This window comes from Homo sapiens, chromosome 4 (genome assembly GCF_000001405.40).
Source record: "Homo sapiens chromosome 4, GRCh38.p14 Primary Assembly".
Taxonomy (NCBI): Eukaryota; Metazoa; Chordata; class Mammalia; order Primates; family Hominidae; genus Homo; species Homo sapiens.
This window is the reverse complement of record NC_000004.12, coordinates 147,676,299-147,697,150: the sequence shown is the minus strand read 5'-3', so window position 1 is coordinate 147,697,150 and position 20,852 is coordinate 147,676,299. Positions and strand designations below refer to the sequence as shown.

The 20,852-nt window shown below is 42.4% G+C and overlaps 1 protein-coding gene across 6 annotated transcripts in view; it reads left to right on the top strand.

Moving 5' to 3' along the window:
- The window catches only part of PRMT9 (protein arginine methyltransferase 9), a 46,379-nt gene continuing 38,514 nt past the window's right edge, over positions 12,988-20,852 (top strand). For 4 of the 6 annotated variants that reach the window (NM_001350143.2, NM_001350144.2, NM_001350141.2 and 1 more), the window contains exon 1: positions 12,988-13,352. Coding sequence is in view for 1 of the 6 variants with exons in the window: in NM_138364.4 (NP_612373.2) it covers positions 13,164-13,352; positions 16,680-16,828 (338 nt within the window). In the remaining 5 variants the exon portion in view is untranslated. Of the gene's footprint in view, positions 13,353-16,679; positions 16,829-19,395; positions 19,531-20,852 lie in introns of all 6 variants that reach the window. The other 2 variants (NM_001350142.2, NM_138364.4) reach the window with 2 other exon arrangements.

The window sequence follows — 20,852 nt, the reverse complement described above, 5'->3', positions numbered from 1 at the left end:
CCTATTTAGACATCTTAGGAAAATATTTAGACGTTAGACTAAATATTTTCAGCAAATGCCCTGTGGCAAGAAGCTTTAGCCCTAGGCTAGTTAGAAGTTAGGTGAAATAAAGACAAGCCTTTCAATCAGTATTCCAGGGAGCCACCAAACAGGTCAGAACAGATAATTTGTACATGATGTGCATATTTCCATCTCTGGTACCAGGAATTTGGGCTGTTATTTTCATGCTACTACTGATCTGAGGAGTGGGAGATAGAACAGAGCTTAAGCTGACAGAGGAACAGTGTAGTAAATTGTAATATCGTCCTCTAGTATTCACTCTGTTCTTTCCATGAATATGCAAACTGAAGTGCCCTCTTCCTTGCAGGAAGAGTGGATATCCCTTTCCCTTTGGGGTTGGACTTAACCACAATAATATGCTTTCACCAATAGAGTGTGAGAGGACATTTTTATTTTATTTATTTATTTATTTATTGAGATGGAGTCTTGCTCTGTTGTCCAGGCTGGAGTGCAGTGGCGCGATCTCCTCTCACTGTAACCTCTGCCTCCCTGATTCAAGCATTTCTCCTGCCTCAGCCTCCTGAGTAGCTGGGATTACAGGTGCGTGCCACTACACCTGGCTAATTTTTTGTATTTTTAGTAGAGATGGGGTTTCACCGTGTTAGCCAGGATGGTCTCGATCTCCCGACCTTGTGATCTGCCTGTCTTGGCCTCCCGAAGTGCTGAGATTACAGGTGTGAGCCACTGCACCCGATCTAGAGAGGACATGACATACATACAGTTTTGCAGAAACTTTAAGAAGCATCATGATTTTTTAGCAGTTCCATGGCTTTCCCTCTCTGCCATGAGAATGAGCAGGTTTCACATAGGAACTGCTTTTTCAATCTGCAATCCAGGATGAGAGAATACATGGTGCAGAGTCATAGCCTTCTCAAAATCTGAGCAGCATTGTAGGCAATTTGTAGTCTACATGTAATATAAGCAAGAAATAGTCCTTTCTTTTCTAAGGTACTTATTATGGTCTAAATGTGTCCAAAATTCATGTTAAAATTTACTCACCTGTGTTATAGTATTCAAAGTTGAGGCCTTTAGGAGATCGATTAAGTCATGAGGACTTCTGCACTTGTAAATATGATTAGTGATGCTTTAAAAGGGCTGGTGGTGGACAGGTGCGGTGGCTTATTCCTGTAATCCAGCATGTTGGGAGGCCAAGGCAGGCGGATCACCTGAAGTCAGGAGTTCGAGACCAGCCTGGCCAACATGGTGAAACCCCGTCTCTACTAAAAATACAAAAATTAGCTGGGCATGGTGGGGGGGGCGCCAGTAATTCCAGCTACTTGGGAGACTGAAGAGATTCGCTGGAATCCGCGAGGTGGAGCTTTCAGTGAGCAGAGATCGTGCCGTTGCACTTCAGCCTGGGCAACAGAGCGAGACTCTGTCTCAAAAAAAAAAAAAAAAAAATGCCGGTGGAAACAACCCAGGCCATTTTTGGCCTTTTCCATCCTTTCTGCCATGTGAAGACACAGAGTTTATCACTTCTACAGGATATAGCATCGAAGGTGCCATCTTGGTAGCAGAGCCTGGGCCCTTACCAGACACCAAAGCTGCCATCGGTCTGATCTTCAACTTATCAGCCTCCAGAACTGTAAGAAAGAAATTTCTATTATTTATAAGTTATCCAGTCTCAGCTATTTTTTACCAATTGACTAAGACAGCACTGAATTTTCAGAGTTGTTTGTTATGTAGTATAATCTAATAAAAGCTGACTAATGTAAACAGTTCCCAGAAAAAGAGGGAAAGATACTGGCTGGTAAAACATTAAATTACTTAAAACATTGCCTACTATACAGAATGCATTCAACAAATATCAATATATTAAATTATATTTTTATATAGATAACTAGCACTTTTTATTAGAATCAAAACACAGACTGTCCTGGAGAAAAACCACAAAATTCTAACTTTTCAACTTTTACTTTTATCAAGTCATTAAAAAATCCTTATCGTAAAGATGAATTATAATATACAGTAGATCCCCCCTTTCTGTGGTTTCGGTTACCCATGATATAGTGCAATAAGATATTTAGAGAGAGAGAGAAAGAGAGGCCATATTCACATAACATTTATTATAGTATATTATTATAATAATAATATTAATTTCTTTTGAGACACAGTTTTGCTCTTGTTGCCCAGCCTGGAGTGCAATGACGCAATCTTAGCTCACTGCAACCTCCGCCTCCCGGGTTCAAGCTATTCTTCTGTTTCAGGCTCCCAAGTAACTGGAATTACAGGCATGCACCACCATGCCCGGCTAATTTTATATTTTTAGTACAGATGGGGTTTCACCATGTTGATCAGGCTGGTCTTGAACTCCTGACCTCAGATGATCCATCTGCCTCGACCTCCTAAAGAGCTGGGATTACAGGTGTCAGCCACCGGGTCCGCCCTATTATAACTATTCTATTTTATTATTAATTTTCATCTCTTTTTTTTTTTGAGACAGGGTCTCACTCCATTGCCCAGACTGGAGTGCAGTGGTGCGATCTTGGTTCACCACAACCTCTGTCTTCCAGGCTCAAGCAATTCTCCTGCCTCAGTCTCCTGAGTAGCTGGGATTACAGGCGCGCACCACCATGCCCAGCTAATTTTTGCGTTTTTAGTAGAGACAGGGTTTCACCATGTTGGCCAGGCTGGTCTTGAACTCCTTACCTCAAATGATCTACCTGCCTAAGCCTCCCAAAGTGCTAGGATTACAGGCAGGAGCCACTGCGCCCAGCCTAATTTTCATCTTTTACCGTGCCTAATTAAACTTTATCATAGGAATGTATGTATAAGAAAAAACATAGTCTATATAGAGTTTGTTATTATTCGTGGTTTCAGGCATCACCTGAGGGTCATGGAATGTATCCTTCATGGATAAGGAGAACTACTATATTGAGAAAAATGTAATTATTCACATTTTTTATATTTATTTATTCTATATGCTATTGCTCTAACTAGATTTATGAGAGACCCTGGTCCTACTGGCAACTCATTTATAAGCCATTTCTTAAGATTGTTCATTTCTATAAAATCTTATTCATTTTATCCAATATCTTACTTTCTTCTATTAGCAATTTCAGAGGAGGCTTTGCCACTCTTTCCTCATTCTGCATTTTGTGATGCATATTTCCTCCTTCTACACACTTTTCCAGGAGAATTATAATCATTGCTACAACTTCAACCTACCAACTTAGTTAAAACTTCCAGCTGGGTGCAGTGGCTCATGCCTGTAATCCCAGCACTTTGGGAGGTTAAGGCAAGAGGATCACTGGAGCCCAGAGGTTCCAGACTGGCCCATTCAACGTGGAGAGACCACATCTCTACAAAAACCACAAAAATTAGACAGGTGTGATGGCGTGTTCCTGTAGTCTCGGCTACTCTGGAGACTGAGGTAGGAGGATTACTTGAGCCTGCGAGGTTGAAGCTGCAGTTTGCCATGATTGCACCAAGCCTGGGCAACACAGCAAGATTCCATCTCTAAAAACAAACAAACAAACAAAACCCATCCAAATACTTATATCTAGACCAGATATTTCCAGTGAGGTCTAAACATACTTTCTTACCTGCCCACTGGACATCTTCACTTGATGTCCAGATACCTCAAACACAGCCATTTAACTGATAAGCTATGGGTCACATTTGTTAGTTTTCTTTAAGGTCTTGTGATTCATGGTGACATCTGTCCCTGAATAAAGAATCTTATGACTTCCTCAAATTGTTGACCTACTGATTAATGTATAACCTACTAACACTAAAAAGAATGCCAATTTATTTTTCAATCATAAAGTTTTTTTTTTTTTTTTTGAGACAGAGTCTCGTTCTGTTGCCCAGGCTGGAGTGAAGTGGCATGATCTCCACTCACTGCAAACTCCGCCTCCCAGGTTCAAGCGATTCTCGTGCCTCAGTGTCCCCAGTAGTTGGGATTACAGGCACGCCCCACCGTGCCCCGTTGATTTTTTGTATTTTCAGTAAAGACGGGGTTTTGCCATGTTTCCCAGGCTGGTCTCGAACTCCTGAGCTCAGGCAATCCATCCGCCTCAGCCACCCAAAGTGCTAGGATTACAGGTATGAGCCACCGTGCCTGGCCAGAATCATAAAGTTTTACTGATTGTATTGCACGCAGACATTTTAGCCTATATGTTGCAGTCTGTGGCCAATGATTATAACCTCTGTGTTACACCCATCAATGAAAAAACACAACTCCGGTATGAGAAGTCCCCCTACCTTCTCCTACACTGTCTTATAAAAGCTTTCCAACTTGTAACAGACTCTGGAACACTCCCAACTTTGTTGATGTGTCTTCCTGGGTCAATCTTCGTATTTGGCTTTCAGTAAACCTTTATCAAATTATTTCTCTCTCAACAGCCTTAATTTTGGTTGACATAACTAATCATTTTTCTCTTCAAATCTGTTCATCTCCCTTCTCTACACTTCATATCCTGGTTAATGGCACCACCTGGTTGCTTATGCCAAAAGTACTGGCATCATCTTCAATTTTTCCCTTTTTCTTTTTTTTTTTTTTTGAGACAGAGTTTCAGTGTTGTTACCCAGGCTGGAATGCAATGACACAATCTTGGCTCACTGCAACCTCCGCCTCCCGGGGTTCAAGCGATTTTCCTGCCTCAGTCTCCCAAGTAGCTGGGATTATAGGCACCCGCAACCACGCCTGGCTAATTTTTGTGTTTTTAATAGAGACAGGGTCTCACCATGTTGGTCAGGCTGCTGTCGAACTCCTGACCTCAGGTGATCCACCTGCTTCAGCCTCCCAAGGTGCTGGGATTACAGGCGTGAGCCACTGCGCCCGGCCTAATTCTCCCTTTTTCTTATGTCCCTGCTACTCCTATCATGTAGTTGTTTTAAGTCCTGTAGTCTTTGTTTTTGTCACATCTTTCAATTCTTCCTCTTTCTCTAGTTCTCCTTAGCGCCTCCATTTCAGGTTAATCAGATATTTAATGATTTCTTTTGTTCTAGTTATTATTTTGAATGCTAGTGATGAAAAATGAATAAGACATACTTCCTTGAGGCCTAGGAACTCACTTTCTAGTCAGGAGGACAAACAGACCATTTGGACATAATAGGTTAAGTGCTGAGACAGCATTATGATCAGGGGACAATGAGAAATTTTAAAAAGGATGCTTTGCCTAAACCAGGTGATCTGGTTTGGCTCTGTCTCCCCACCCAAATCTCATGTTGAATTGTAATCCCCACATGTCAGGGGAGGAGCCTAGTGGGAGGTGATTGGATCATGGGGGCAGATTACCCCCTTGCTATTCTCGTTCTCATGAGATTTGATGGTTTAAAAGTGTGCGGCACTTCCCCCTTCGTTCTCTCTTCTGCCTCCACGTAAAGAAGGTACTTGTTTCCCCTTCATTTTCTGCCATGGTTATAAGTTTCCTAAGGCCTCACAGTCATGCTTCCAGTTAAGCCTGTGGAACTGTGTGTCAATTAAATCTCTTCTCTTCGTCAATTACCCAGTCTCAGGTAGTTCTTTATAGCAGAGTGAGAATGGACCTGGTACAGAGTAGCGCTCAAGTGGATTTTCCCTCATATCATCTCTGAACTCTGCTGTCATATTATTATAGGACCTTGTACACTGAGAACACTCAGATTCCAAACCCAGCATTAGTCTGGCCATTATTACAATTTTATATTTAAATTGACTTCTAGATTTTGAAATTGCATATGGAATAATTAGAAAAGGGCTGTTATAAAACAACAAAGTATCCTAATTTTAGTTAAATATATTGAATAAGCTGGAAATACTTAGCAGTGAGAATGTATCAAAGTAAATTTCAATCCCAACAGTTGGTCTGTAGCCATAGTATTTTGTTGATCCAATTATAAAATTTTCTCTTCAACAGGTAATTCAGTAAGATGAACATTCTATTCCTCATCGTATAATAATTACTTAAATTCAAAATAATTCAATTGAGAGAATCCTCACAATTCTAACAGGTCATAAAAATTATATTTTCACTCCCTACATTGGCCTTATGTCTTATAACATATCTCTTAAAGAGAGTATCTTTAATTTTTTTTTTTTGAGACAGAGTCTCACTCTGTCTCTTTTTCTTATGTCCCTGCTACTCCTATCATGTAGTTGTTTTAAGTCCTGTAGTCTTTGTTTTTGTCACATTTTTCAATTCTTCCTTTCTCTAGTTCTCCTTAGCGCCTCCATTTCAGGTTAATCAGATATTTAATGACTTCTTTTGCAGTGGTGCGATCTTGGCTCACTACAACCTCCACCTCCCAGGTTCAAGTGATTATTGTGCCTCAGCCTCACAAGTAGCTGGGACTACAGGTGCGTGCTACCATGCCCGGCTAATTTTTGTATTTTTAGTAGAGACGGGGTTTTGCCTTGTTGAACCAGGCTGGTCTCCAACTTCTGACCTCAGGTGATCCACTTGCCTCAGCCTCCCAAAGTGCTGAGATTACAGGTATGAGCCACCACACATCTTTAAATCTATAGATAACCATAGCAAAAATACTCATGCCCAGCCCTGTTCCAGGCTAGCTAAATTAGCATCTCTGGGGATGAGGTCTAGGCACTGATACTGTTTAAAAGCTCCCTAAATAATCCTAAAATGCACAAAGGGTTGCGAACAGGGCTCCAAACCAAAAATAAAACAAACCAGATCACAGAAAAATGTATAAACCTCACAGGGCACAGTGGCTCACACCTGCAGTCCTAGGACTTTTGCAGGCTGAGGTGGGAGGATTGCTTGAGGCTAGGAGTTCGAGGGCAGCCTGGGCTGCATGCTAAGACTCTATCTGTACAATAAATTAAAAAATTAGTTGTGTGTGGTGGTGTGGACCTGTAGTCCCAGCTACTCAGGAGGCTGAGGTAGAAGGATCACTTGATCTAAGAGTTTGAGGCTGCAGTGAGCTATAATCGTGCCACTGCACTCCATCCTGGGCAGCAGAGTGATAGATACCTTGTCTCTAAAAAGAAAAAAGAAAAAGAAAAAGAAAAAAAGAATGAACCAGGCTGGGCGCAGTGCCTCATGCCTGAAATCCCACCACTTTGGGAGATCAAGGCGAGTGGATCATGAGGTCAGGAGTTCAAGATCAGCCTGGCCAAGATGGTGAAACCCCTAAAAATACCAAAAAAAAAAAAAAAAATTAGCAGGCCATGGTGGTGGGCGCCTGTAATCCCAGCTACTCAGGAGGCTGAGGCAGAGAATTGTTTGAACATGGGAGGTGGAGTACACAGTGAGCCAAGATAGCGCCACTGCACTCCAGCCTGGGTGACAGAGTGAGACTCCATCTCAAAAAAAAAAAAAAAAAAAAAAAAAAGAACTTCCACATTTATAAACACAGGATAGTTTGTGTCCAACAAGCTGTTTGTCCCTTGTTAATATGCTATATTTTTCTTTTTTATTAATTAATTTATTTAGAGACCGAGTCTGGCTCTGTCACCCAGGCTGGAGTGCAGTGGCATGATTGGGGCTCACTGCCACCTCCATCTCCATCTCCCAGGCTCAAACTATCCTCCCACCCCAGCCTCCCGAATATCTGGGACTACAGGCTCACGCCACCACGCCCAGCTAATTTTTGTATTTTTAGTAGAGACAAGGTTTTCACCATGTTGCCCAGGCTGGTCTTGAACTCCTGACCTCAAGTCATCTGACCACCTTGGCCTCCCAAAGTGCTGGGATTAAGGCATGAGCCACTGCTCCCGGCTCCTTTTTAATACACTTTCTACGAGCATTTTTCCCACCTGTTAACCTTAAACTTTTGCACATTGGAAATTTGACTAAGAGCCCTTCAGCTGGTTTTACTTCTGTGTTTGGCATGTGTGGTTTGCTGACAAGGTGCCCAGAATACGATGAAACACAACCACATTTGGACCTGCCTCCCAGTCAGCAGTGGTCTTCTATATCATTGAGGTTTTTCTTAGAATCCTAAAAGAGGGTAAAAAGGAAATGCAAAGGAAGGAACCAAATAGACTCTCAGAGGTAAAGATAATAGTTGTGAGGGGCAAAACGGCTATTGTCAACAAAAAAGTGATGCTTTCAATGTCTCTAAAGAAATCTTTGATTTAGAATAAAAAAGTAGGCCAGGCACGATGGCTCATGCCTGTAATCCCAGCACTTTGGGAGGCCGAGGCGGGTGGATCACAAGGTCAGGAGATCGAGACCACCTTGGCTAACACGGTGAAACCCCATCTCTACTAAAAATACAAAAAAAATTAGCCAGGCATGGTGGCGGGCGTCTGTAGTCCCAGCTATTCCGGAGGCTGAGGCAGCAGAATGGCGTGAACCGGGAGGCAGAGCTTGCAGTGAGCCAAGATCGTGCCACTGCACTCCAGCCTGGGCAATAGAGCAAGACTCTGTCTCGAAAAAAAAAAAAGAATAAAAAAGTATAACCTACATTCTGCCTTTGTTTTTCATTGTACTTCTGGGTTCTCTGAATATAGGGCTCTTCCAAAAGGCATGAAAGGTAATTACAATAAATTCAGTTAATCTTCATAAAGATGAAGAATCTTAAGTAACTCAGCCTCAACCAGTACTGAGGTAATAAAGGAACAAAAAATAGTAATCAAAATATATTTACTATTCCAGTTTATCTACTTATTTGAGACACGGTCTTGCTCTGTTCCTAGAGTGCAGTGGTGCAATCATAGCTTACTGAAGCTTCGAACTCCTGGGAGATCCTCCCATTTCAGACTCCTGAGTAGCTAGGACCACTGATGTGTGTCACCACATCCAGCTAACTTTTTTATTTTAAATTTTTTGTAGAAGTGGAATCTTGCTATGCTGCTCAGGCTGGTCTTGAACTCCTGGCCTGAAGTGATTCTCCAGCCTTAGCCTCTCAAAGCTCTGGGATTACAGGCATGAGTCACCGCACCCAGCCAATTCCAGTTTCTTTTTTTTCCTTCTGTTTCTGGTTTGCTCTGTTTTTTTATTTTTTAATTATACTTTAAGTTCTAGGGTACATGTGCACAACGTGCAGGTTTGTTACATATGTATATATGTGCCATGTTGGTGTGCTGCACCCATGAACTCGCCACTTACGTTAGGTTTATCTCCTAATGCTATCCCTCCCCCGTTCCTCCCACCCCACGACAGGCCCAGGTGTGTGATGTTCCCCTTCCTGTGTCCAAGTGTTCTCATTGTTCAATTCCCACCTATGAGTGAGAACATGTGGTGTTTGGTTTTCTATCCTTGCAATAGTTTGCTCAGAATGATGGTTTCCAGCTTCATCCATGTCCCTACAAAGGACATGAGCTCATCCTTTTTTATGGCTGCATAGTATTCCATGGTGTATATGTGCCACATTTTTTCTTTTTTTTTTTTTTTTGAGACGAGTCTCGCTCTGTCACCCAGGCTGGAGTGCAGTGGCATGATCTCGGCTCACTGCAAGCTCCACCTCCCGGGTTCACACCATTCTCCTGCCTCAGCCTCCCAAGTAGCTGGGACTACAGGTGCCTGCCACCATGCCTGGCTAATTTTTTATACTTTTAGTAGAGACGGGGTTTCACCGTGTTAGCCAGGATGGTCTCGATCTCCTGACCTCGTGATCCGACTGCCTTGGCCTCCCAAAGTGCTGGGATTATAGGCGTGAGCCACCGTGCCCGGCCATGTGCCACATTTTCTTAATCCAATCTATCACTGATGGGCATTTGGGTTGGTTCCAAGTCTTTGCTATTGTGAATAGTGCCGCAATAAACATACGAGTGCATGTGTCTATAGCAGCATGATTTATAATCCTTTAGGTGTATACCCAGTAATGGGATGGCTGGGTCAAATGGTATTTCTAGTTCTAGATCCTTGAGGAATCACCACACTGTCTTCCACAATGGTTGAACTAGTTTACAGTCCCACCAACAGTGTAAAATTGTTCCTATTTCTCCACATCCTCTCCAGCACCTGTTGTTTCCTGACTTTTTAATGATCGCCATTCTAACTGGTGTGAGATGGTATCTCATTGTGGTTATGATTTGCATTTCTCTGATGGCCAGTGACAATGAGCATTTTTTCCTGTGTCTGTTGGCTGCACAAATGTCTTCTTTTGAGAAGTGTCTGTTCATAGCCTTCGCCCAATTTTTGATGGGGTTGTTTGATTTTTTCTTGTAAATTTGTTTAAGTTCTTTGTAGATTCTGGATATTAGCCCTTTGTCAGATGGGTAGATTGCAAAAATTTTCTCCCATTCTGTAGGTTGCCTGTTCACTCTGATGGTAGTTTCTTTTGCTATGCAGAAGCTCTTTAGTTTAATTAGATCCCATTTGTCAATTTTGGCTTTTGTTGCCATTGCTTTTGGTGTTTTAGTCATGATGTCCTTGCCCATGCCTATGTCCTGAATGGTATTGCCTAGGATTTCTTTTAGCGTTTTTATGGTTTTAGGTCTAACATTTAAGTCTTTAATCCATCTTCAATTAATTTTTGTATAAGGTGTAAGGAAGGGATCTAGTTTCAGCTTTCTACATATGGCTAGCCAGTTTGCCCAGCACCATTTATTAAATAGGGAATCCTTTCCCCATTTCTTGTTTTTGTCAGGTTTGTGAAAGATCAGATGGTTGTAGATGTGTGGTATTGTTTCTAATGGCTCTGTTCTGTACCATTGGTCTATATCTCTGTTTTGGTACCAGTACCTTGCTGTTTTGGTTACTATAGCCTTATAGTATAGTTTGAAGTCAGGTAGCATGATGCCTCCAGCTTTGTTCTTTTGGCTTAGGATTGTCGTGACAATGCGGGCTCTTTTTTGGTTCTATATGAACTTTAAAGTAGTTTTTTCAAATTCTGTGAAGAAAGTTATTGTTAGCTTGATGGGGATGGCACTGAATCTGTAAATTACCTTGGGCGGTGTGGCCATTTTCACGATATTGATTCTTCCTATCCATGAGCATGGAATGTTCTTCCATTTGTTTGTGTCCTCTCTTATTTCATTGAGCAGTGGTTTGTAATTCTCCTTGAAGAGGTCCTTCACGTCCCTTGTAAGTTGGATTCCTAGGTATTTTATTCTTTTTGAAGCAATTGTGAATGGGAATTCACTCATGATTTGGCTCTCTGTCTGTTATTGGTGTATAGAAATGCCTGTGATTTTTGCACATTGATTTTGTATCCTGACACTTTGCTGAAGTTGCTTATCAGCTTAAGGAGATTTTGGGCTGAGATGATGGGGTTTTCTAAATATACAATCATGTCATCTGCAAACAGGGACAATTTGACTTCCTCTTTTCCTAATTGAATACCCTTTATTTCTTTCTCCTGCCTGTTTGCCCTGGCCAGAACTTCCAACACTATGTTGAATAGGAGTGGTGAGAGAGGGCATCCCTGTCTTGTGCCAGTTTTCAAAGGGAATGCTTCCAGTTTTTGCCCATTCAGTATGATATTGGCTGTGGGTCTGTCATAAATAGCTCTTATTATTTTGAGATACATCCCATCAATACCTAATTTATTGAGAGTTTTTAGCATGAAAGGCTGTTGCCAATTCCAGTTTCTTAAGGTGACCAGATGTTCCATGTTATTTGTGTCATTCCATTTTTTCAAATGACCTATTCTATGTACAGAAAATCTTGAAGTTATAGATAAACCACGAAAAAATGCAAATAATTGGCCTGGTGCAGTGGCTCATGCCTGTAATCCCAGCACTTTGGGGGGCTGAGGCGGGCGGATCACCTGAGGTCAGGAGCTTGAGACCAGCCTGACCAACATGGAGAAACCCTGTCTCTACTAAAAAGACAAAATTACCCGGGCGTGGTGGTGCATGCCTGTAATCCCAGCTACTCGGAAGGCTGAGGCAGGAGAATCGCTTGAACTTGGGAGGTAGAGGTTGCAGTGAGCCGAGATCGCACCACTGCACTCCAGCCTGGCGACAGAGTGAGGCTCTGTCTCAAAAAAAAAAAAAAAAAAAAAAAAAAAAAAAAGAAAAAAAAGAAAAGAAAGAAAAGAAAGAAGAAAAAATCAAAGTCCTTACTTTGCATCATAATCCGCTAGGTGCAAAGGTCACAAAAGTGATTAAGAATAGCTCACAATGTAGTGAGCTGGAACCTGAAAAACGGATTAGGATTTACACAGGCGAGTGCTCAGAAAAAAGGGTAGTTCAGATAATTGGATCAGAAGAGAAGGCAAAAATGCATGACGTGTTTTTGAGAATTAGAGGAGCCCTCAAAATGTATTAGTGTGATATGCAAAATGCTCGATTTAAGATATTATCCATTAATGAATTTGAAAATGGGGACAAAAATAACTTTTCAGCCGTAATAACTATGCTCCCCTCCCTTTGAGTTTCGAATCTGTATCTTAGAGGCCACACTTGAATGTGGAAAAACTTTGTATTAATGTAAACACTATACAGTGATAAGACACGAACAGTGAAATAACCCCTAAGCTCATCTTATAACTGAACAGATAGGTGGTCAGAGAACTTGGATTTGAACCATGCCTATGCCACTAGCTGGTTGTGTGACCTCCAGCAAGTCACTTCTCAAGATACCACGTTTGCCATCATTAAGACGAGTGTGATCCAAAGGTCCACCTAGCCAGGTTTTGTGAGAATGATTTGAAATGCCTGTGAAAGCATTTCCTCTACCACGTCTGAGATGCTTTTGTTATCTCCAGGTTCTTTCAGGTCTTGAAATTTTGTGCATCACGATCCAAAATGTCTTAAGCATCATCACAAATGCTTGACCGTCCCTCATGAGCGGGTGGCGCTTCGCGCTGCCTGGGTCTGTACAACAGGGTCTTGCAGTCGAAAGCCACACACTCCCGGAGTGCAAGAGGGAGAGAAAGCTCTGCTTTCAGCCGGGAAAAAAAAAGGGCGCAAGACCGGACAGGTCCTGCCACAGACGTTCTCCTATGCTCACGCACAGTGGTCGCTCCTGCGGGAATGGGCAGCAGTGACGTGCCCACGTCGGGCGCGCTGACGTTCGCGTAGCGTGCGCCGCTGGCCAGGTGCGCAATAGTGGGGTATGCGTCACGGTCTGCGCCGCCCGCGGGGCCAGGACGGGGCGGAGCTTCCGCCTGGGCTGGGGTTGGCGAGTTCACCCGCGGCGGAGGGTAACTTTGCTGTGCTGTTTTTTGAGCAGTTGTCTGGTCCCTGGAAGTGTAGCATCGAGAGAGTTTTCTAATTACGTTTACAAAATATCTTCCCTTTGGCCATACAAGTGGTGACTGCCATGTCGAACTCGCGGCCCAGGTCCCGCCGAGACGCCGGGGGTGGCGCTGGGGCAGCCGGCCGGGACGAGCTGGTGTCGCGGTCCTTGCAGAGCGCAGAGCACTGTCTGGGCGTCCAGGACTTCGGCACTGCCTATGCCCACTACCTCCTCGTGCTCAGCCTGGCGCCGGAGCTGAAACACGACGTGAAGGTGAGGGTCCTTTTTTCTCACTTGCTGGCAGATCCAACGTCCTCGTAAAAAAAAAAAAAAAAACAGAAAAAAAAAAAAGCGGAGGGGCTAGGGTGCCTGGGTGGGTGGTTGCTGTTAATATTTAGGGCCCTTTTTTCTCACTTGCTGGCCGATCCAACGTCCTCGTAAAAAAAAAGAAAAGAAAAAAGGCGGAGGGGCTAGGGTGCTTGGTTGGGTGTTTGCTATTAATGTTTACTGTTCAACCTTGACATCTTTCGTTTATTCACACCTACGACCAGCCCAGAGGAAAATCCTGCCGTCTTCACCTTCGAAATATGTCCAGAATCTTACCAGTTCTCACCATCTTCCCCTTTACTACCCTGGTTCGAGCTTCAGTCATCTGCCGGCTGTTGCAGTCGGCTCTCAACTGAGCTCTCTCCTGCAGTCTGTGTCAACATAGCTAGCTTTTTGCAACAAAAGTCAAATGTTGTCATTTCTCAGTTTCAAAACTTTCATCTCGTTTAAAATTTTAAAGGCCCTCGAATTGGAAATGAGGTCTCACGTGATCCTCTTCTCCTTATATCTAATTTAAGCATGCCCTGGCTTGAGGGCTTTTGGATTTGTTATATTGTGTGTAGTAGGAATATAGTGGGCCTCTAGTTGAATAAAGTGTGTAATTAGCCTAAAGTGATTATCATTTAATGATGCGTTCTTTAAACTTCAATTATTGGATTATTTGCAACAATTACTCTGTTGAAATGCTGTTCTTTTTTGAAGTACTTTTAGAATCTAAATTACGAAAAATGATTTAACTTAAAATTGCAATTACTTTGCTTCATTTAGACTGAGGGTTTGTCAACCTCAGCACTATTGACATTTTGAATGGGATAATTCTTTGTTATGGGGGAGGGGAGGTGTCCTGTGCATTGCAGTATGTTTGGCAGCATCCTTGATCTCTACCCACTAAATGTCAGTAGCGTCTAGATGTTTGTAGTTCATGTAAACTTAGTGTAAATTTCAGGACCAGCTGTCCTACTTGAGGAGGAGATGATATGTTGAGATACAGTTTGCTTCTCTTGGTAGGCAGCAATAGAAAAATGGATCAACTCAAGTGATCTTTCCTCAGTTACTTGTTTCTTAGTTTCCTCTTCTGTGAAACAGGGACGCAGCCTCTCTTAAAAATGTTTACTGGGTATTAAAAGTATATTTAGACTGGGTGTGCTGGCTCAGGCCTGTAATCCCAGCACTTTGGGAGGCGGAGGCGGGTGGATCACAAGGTCAGGAGTTTGAGACCAGCCTGGCCAATATGGTGAAAACCTGTCTCTACTAAAAATTAAAAAATTAGGCCGGGCGCGGTGGCTCACGCCTGTAATCCCAGCACTTTGGGAGGCAGAGACGGGTGGATCACCTGAGGTCAGTAGTTCGAGACCAGCCTCAACATGGAGAAACCCCGTCTCTACTAAAAGTACAAAATTAGCTGGGCGTGGTGGTGCATGCCTGTAATCACAGCTACTCGAGAGGCTGAGGCAGGAGAATTGCTTGAACCTGGGAGGCAGAGGTTGTGGTGAGCCGAGATCACGCCATTGCGCTCCAGCCTGGGCAACAAGAGCGAAACTCTGTCTCAGAAAAAAAAATAAAAATAAAAAATTAGCTGGGCGTGGTGGCATGTGCCTGTAGTCCCAGCTACTCAGGAGGCTGACGCAGAAGAATTGCTTGAACTCGGGAGGCGGAGGTTGCAGTAAGTCCAGATTGTGCCATTGCACTCCAGCCTGGGCGACAGTGTATGACTCCATCTCAAAAAGAAAAAATAAAAAAGTATATTTAAAATTTGTAGTGCAATGCCTGACATTCAGTAGGGTAAGCAACTAGTCTGTTTCCTGCCGAACAAAGTCTGTGTTTGTTTGTATGGGCCCCCTGTAAAATGCTCATTGCCTGCTACTCTATTCCCCATACCCAAACTCCGGCCACACCAAGCCACTTATCTGTAGACCCTCTGATCCATTTCATATAATCTGTGCGGGGTTTTTTTTTTTTTTATAGAGTCTCACTGTATCACGCAGGCTGGAATGCAGTGGTGCGATCTCGGTTCACTGCAACCTCCACCTCCTGGGTTCAAGCAATTCTCCTGCCTCAGCCTCCTGAGTAGCAGGGATTATAGGTGTTCGCCACCGTGCTTGGCTAATTTTTATATTTTTAGTAGAGATGGGGTTTCACCGTGTTGGCCATGCTGGTCTTCAACTCCTGACCTCAGGTGATCTGCCTGCCTTGGCCTCCCAAAGGGCTGGGATTACAGGCATGAGCCACCGTGCCCGGCCAGAATCTCCTTTCTTATCCTTGTCTCTCTAGTAAACTCCCTCAAGATTCAGTTCCAAATATCAACGCTTTTGTATAAAATATGTGAAGATGATTTAAAATGTTTTAATGACTAAAGCTTTCCCTCTTTCCACAGTATTGCAGCATGGAGAATGGATGGAGGGAGATGCAGTTGGAATTAGAGTGACAGCGTTAAGGCTGTTGCTGTAGTCCAGCAAGTGGTTACAAGGGCCAGATTAGGTTGTAACTGTGGGAATGGAGAGGAGGTAACAGATTTAAAGATATTGAGAGAGCATTGGCTAGGTTTGAAACAGTGTATGTGGAGTTAAGGTACCATTATAAGGTGACTTTGTGGTTTGAGGTTGAGTGGTGTCTTAATCTTATAGCCTGTGTCAGAGGAGTATGATGAGTTCAGTGTAGAACATTTTGAACTTTTCCAAAATTAAATTTCTCTCTATAGGGCCTCTGTGAGGATAAGAACAAGATTTATGTTGCTTCAGTTCTTTGCACAAGGATTGTTCAGGAAATATTTGAGTTGGACTACATTTGCAATGGCTGGAGATCCATTGCCGGGTTGAAATGACTAATAGGAAGCTGTATCTATGAGTCTGAGGTTCAGAAGAGAAGGTCTTGACTAGAGATGTAAATGTAGCATCCATTAACACATGGGTGATAATAAATGCGTTAGGGATGGATGAGTGAAAAAAGAAGAGGGCCAAGGACAAACTCCAAAAACACAGGAGCCGACAAAAGTGAGGCAGTTCTGGAGAATAAGGAGAATGTGATACAGCAGCTAAGAGTGGGGGGAGTTTAGAGAGTGGTCAGACTAATTCTGCTTATTATTGCCATGTAGGTGGTAAAATTCATTCATTTGTGCACTTGTTCAGAAAACAGTGCCTACTAAAGTTAAATGAAGTTTAAGGTGATTGTTCAATAGTGATTAAGTTCGATTGCTTGGAATCTTCAACTAATGATGTATATTCTTTCATCTTTTATGTTATTGACTAATTCATAATTTTTTTCTTATTTGTAAAGGAAACTTTTCAGTACACACTTTTCAGATGGGCTGAAGAGCTTGATGCTCTCAGTCGGATACAAGACTTACTTGGTTGCTATGAGCAGGCCTTGGAACTGTTTCCTGATGATGAAGTGATTTGCAATAGTATGGGGGAGCATCTCTTCAGGTTTGTAGTGATTTTAGTATTACTTGTTAAGAATTATTCTGTATTAGTCTGGATAGGGATAAATCATACTGTAATTTTAACAGGGAAAGTTTAATATGGAGAATTATTAAGGAGAATTGAAAAGAATAGCAGATATATAATAATCATAGCAGTTTTAATATTTTGTAATATACGGCATAATAGCCACTGCCCTTAGGAGTAAGACAGAATATCCAAGGAAGAGTTCCCCTCACTGGGCTGAGTGCCACCCCTTATTGGAGAGGGCACAGCTGTGATTCTTAGGATGGCAGAAAAGTCACTGTAGTGCCTTGCCAGGGAACTTCTTGTAAATTTGTTTTCTGGACCTGGGTATAGTTTTGCCTCTTGGGATGCCAGAGAAAGCCTCATGGGGAAGTATCTTATCAGAGGTACTCCATTACAAAACCATGTAGTAGGGTAAGAAGCCTTGGGGAAGCTGCTGACCCTTGGATGCTGCTAGCTGCCATGCATTTCAGGAGCTTGGTGCTAGACAAGCCCTGTGCAGGAAGCAAAACTCTTTCTTGCTACAGTGTCTCTCCAGCACTGTTTTTTTTGGGGGCAGAGTCTCACTTTGTAGCCCAGGCTGGAGTGAAGTGGCGTGATCTCAGCTCACTGCAACCTCTCCACCTTCTGGGTTCAAGTGATTCTCGTTCCTCAGCCTCCTGAGAAGCTGGCATTACAGGCGCCTGCCACCCCACCCAGGTAATTTTTGTATTTTTAGTAGAGACAGGGTTTCACCATGTTGGCCAGGCTGGTCTCGAACTCCTGACCTCAAGCGATCCACCCGCCTCAGCCTCCCAAACTGCTGGGATTACAGGTGTGAGCCACTGCGCCTGGCCTCCAGCACTTTTTTTTTTTTGAGACAGTGTGTCACTGTGTCGCTCAGGTTGGAGTGCAGTAGCACCATCATGGCTCATGGCAACCTTGACCTCCCAGGCTCTGGTGATCTCACCTCAGCAGCGCCCCCACCTGCACTCCAGTAGCTGGAATTGCAGTACATGCCACCACACCTGGCTAATTTTTTGTCTTGTTTGTAGAGACAGGATTTTGCCATGTTGTTGCCCAAGCTGGTCTGGAACTCCTGGGCTCAAGCGATCCTCTGGCCTTGGCCTCCCAAAGCACTGGGATTACAGACTTGAGCCACTGCACGCGGCCTCTCCGCACTTTTTACCAACAAAGCTTACCCTTGTGCCAACTGGTGGGAGAATATTAAAGGGCCAGATACAGTTTTCACAGAGCAGGCAAAAAAGGGTGAATTTGGCAATAAGTTGATAACTTACATGTTGGGAGTCTTGGAACCACTCCCAGATTTGCTGATTTGCTGGAAGGGCTCACAGGCCTCACCATGTAGTCCTAGTCATGGCTCTTGTGTATTACTGTGAATGGATACAAAGCAAAATTTGCAAAGGGTAAATGTGTATGGGGCAAAGTGTAAAGGAAAACCAGGTGCAAGCCTCCAAAGTTCCTTTTTCAGTGAAGTCACGCAGGATGCACTTCATTCCCACGGTGAGTTATGACAGTACACGTGAAATGTTGCCAACCAGGGAAACTCATTAGAGGCTCAGTGCCCAGGGTTTCTACTGGGAGCTGGACACTTGGGTACCCTCTGCCTGGCATATACTAAAATCCTAGATTCCCAGAAGAAAAGCAGGTCAGCTGTTGAGCATAAACCACATTGTTTGTATAATCAGTTTAGGAATACTATCAGTTAGGATAGTGAGAACCCTCCCCAAATCCAAATTCCCAGATGCCAGCCAAGGGACAGTTTTGTAATCAGGCCTTTCAAAGGATGGCAGTCAGGCCTGCTATGTTAACTCTGCATACTAGTACATGTGCGTGAAGAATTCTGTGAAAGTACAGGAAATAAAATGAATGGTTAACATTGCTTCTGAGTTTGAACGTTTCAGAGTGATGGGGACTCAGCATGGTTCTGCCAAGTTTGAAAGTGACAATTGCTCACATTCGTAGGAATTTAGTTAATCTCATTTTAAATGTTCCTTTTAGGTATTTTCATGCATTTCCTCACTAATTGCTTTCTCTTTCCCTCAAATCACATCCAGCTAAAAAAAACCTTAATGTTATGAATAATGAACTACAAAATTCCTAAGTGACCACAGAATTTCTCTTATTAAACGTATCTCGAGTTCATTAGTTCTTAACAATCAATCTGCTACCTTTGTCTCTGGTGCCCATGGGGCCCTTGCGTGGCTCACTAGACTGTGCAGGGCTAGGGCTCTGGGAATGCAGTGTATGTACTCTGTACAGTTTTAAGACATTAAATTAATAGAGCAATCAACTCAGTATTATGCTTTTTTTTTTCAGTGTGGAGAAATAATGTTTTATAAATAACTTTTAAGAAGAACATGGATCATTAACCTGACAAATGTACTCCCCTGTGATAATTAATGTAAACTCTTTATATGGTCATTCACAATAAGTTGTATGAATATTTATTACAATTTTGGATCGTATGTCTCTCCTCAGAAAAAATTTTGAGATTTGATGTGTAGAATTTTTTGTTAACAGTTGCTTATTTGAAAAAATTCTAGGTCGGGCATGGTGGCTCATGCCTATATTCCCAGCACTTTGGGAGGCCGAAGCAGGCAGATCAGTTGAGGTCAGGAGTTCGAGACCAGCCTGGCCAACATAGTGCAACCCTGTTTCTACTAAAAAAAATGCAAAAAGTAAACGGGTGTGGTGGCACGTGTCTGTAGTCCCAGCTACTCGGGAGGCTGAGGTAGGAAAATTGCTTGAACCTGAAAGGTGGAGGTTGCAGTGAGCCAAAATTGCGCGACTGCACTCCAGCCTGGGTGACAGAGAGAGACTCCATCTCAAAAAAAAAAAAAAAAAAAAAAAAAATTCTACCTGTCAAGACAGAATGACTTTCTGTTGAGGCTGCTTAATAAATTGAAAATATAAACAAAGTAGTAGTGAGTTTTTTATGTATACATAAGTGTTTTTGTAAATGAAATGTAACTTTTTCATAGAACAGCCTTTTTTTTCTTTGGAATTTTTGTGTACTCTCCATAGAAACTTTATAGTTAGGAAAAACTGGTGAAAACAAAAAATTTTTGTTTTGGGTTTGTTTTAATACATCTAATTTCACTGCCTTGTACAAAATAATGGGAGAATTCTTGTTTAGGAAACATGATTATAATGTCCTATTTTATATAGAAAGATCCCTTTACATGTTCAGTAATTGTTCTCTAGTATCATTCTTTTCCTTATTTGGTTATATTAAGTTTTTTTTTTTTTTTTTTTGAGACGGAGTCTTGCTTTGTCACCCAGGCTGGAGTGCAGTGGCAGGATCTCAGCTCACTGCAACCTCCGCCTCCCAGGTTCAAGCAATTTTCATGCCTCAGCCTCCGGAGTAGCTGGAATTACAGGCACATGCCACCACGCCCGGCTAATTTTTGTATTTTTAGTAGAGATGGGGTTTCACCATGTTGCCCAGGCTGGTCTCGACCTCCTGACCTCTAGTGATCCACCCGCCTCGGTCTCCCAAAGTGGCGCCCAAAGACATGAGCTATGACGTGCAGCCAAGTTGTATTAAGTTTTATTCAATGAAAAGTTCTATATAAGAAACACTTTGCCAAACTTTATTAGCTAGTCTCAGTAATGTAACTGCAAGGCATTTTAATAGTCTTAATTAACATGGCCTAGGGAGTGACAATGAATTCTCCTTTAAAAAACAAATATTTGATAGTTTTTAATTGTAGAGTATGTTAATAATTAGAAAAATAAGGCAGATAATTAACTGAGGGTTACTTGTTCATGTTAACAGCTAACCTGATCAGCTACAGCATCCATTTTCTACAAATTAGCAACCTCTTTCCACCTAAATGAAATTTGTTTGAAAATATTTTTAAAAATCTTTTTTTATGAATAATCTCCTCAAATTAGTTAAAAAAATCTATATTTTAATTCCAAAGTTTTCTTTTGTTCTTTATATAATGAGAGTTACTCTATAGGATTCAATTATATTTCCAGATTATACACATACGGT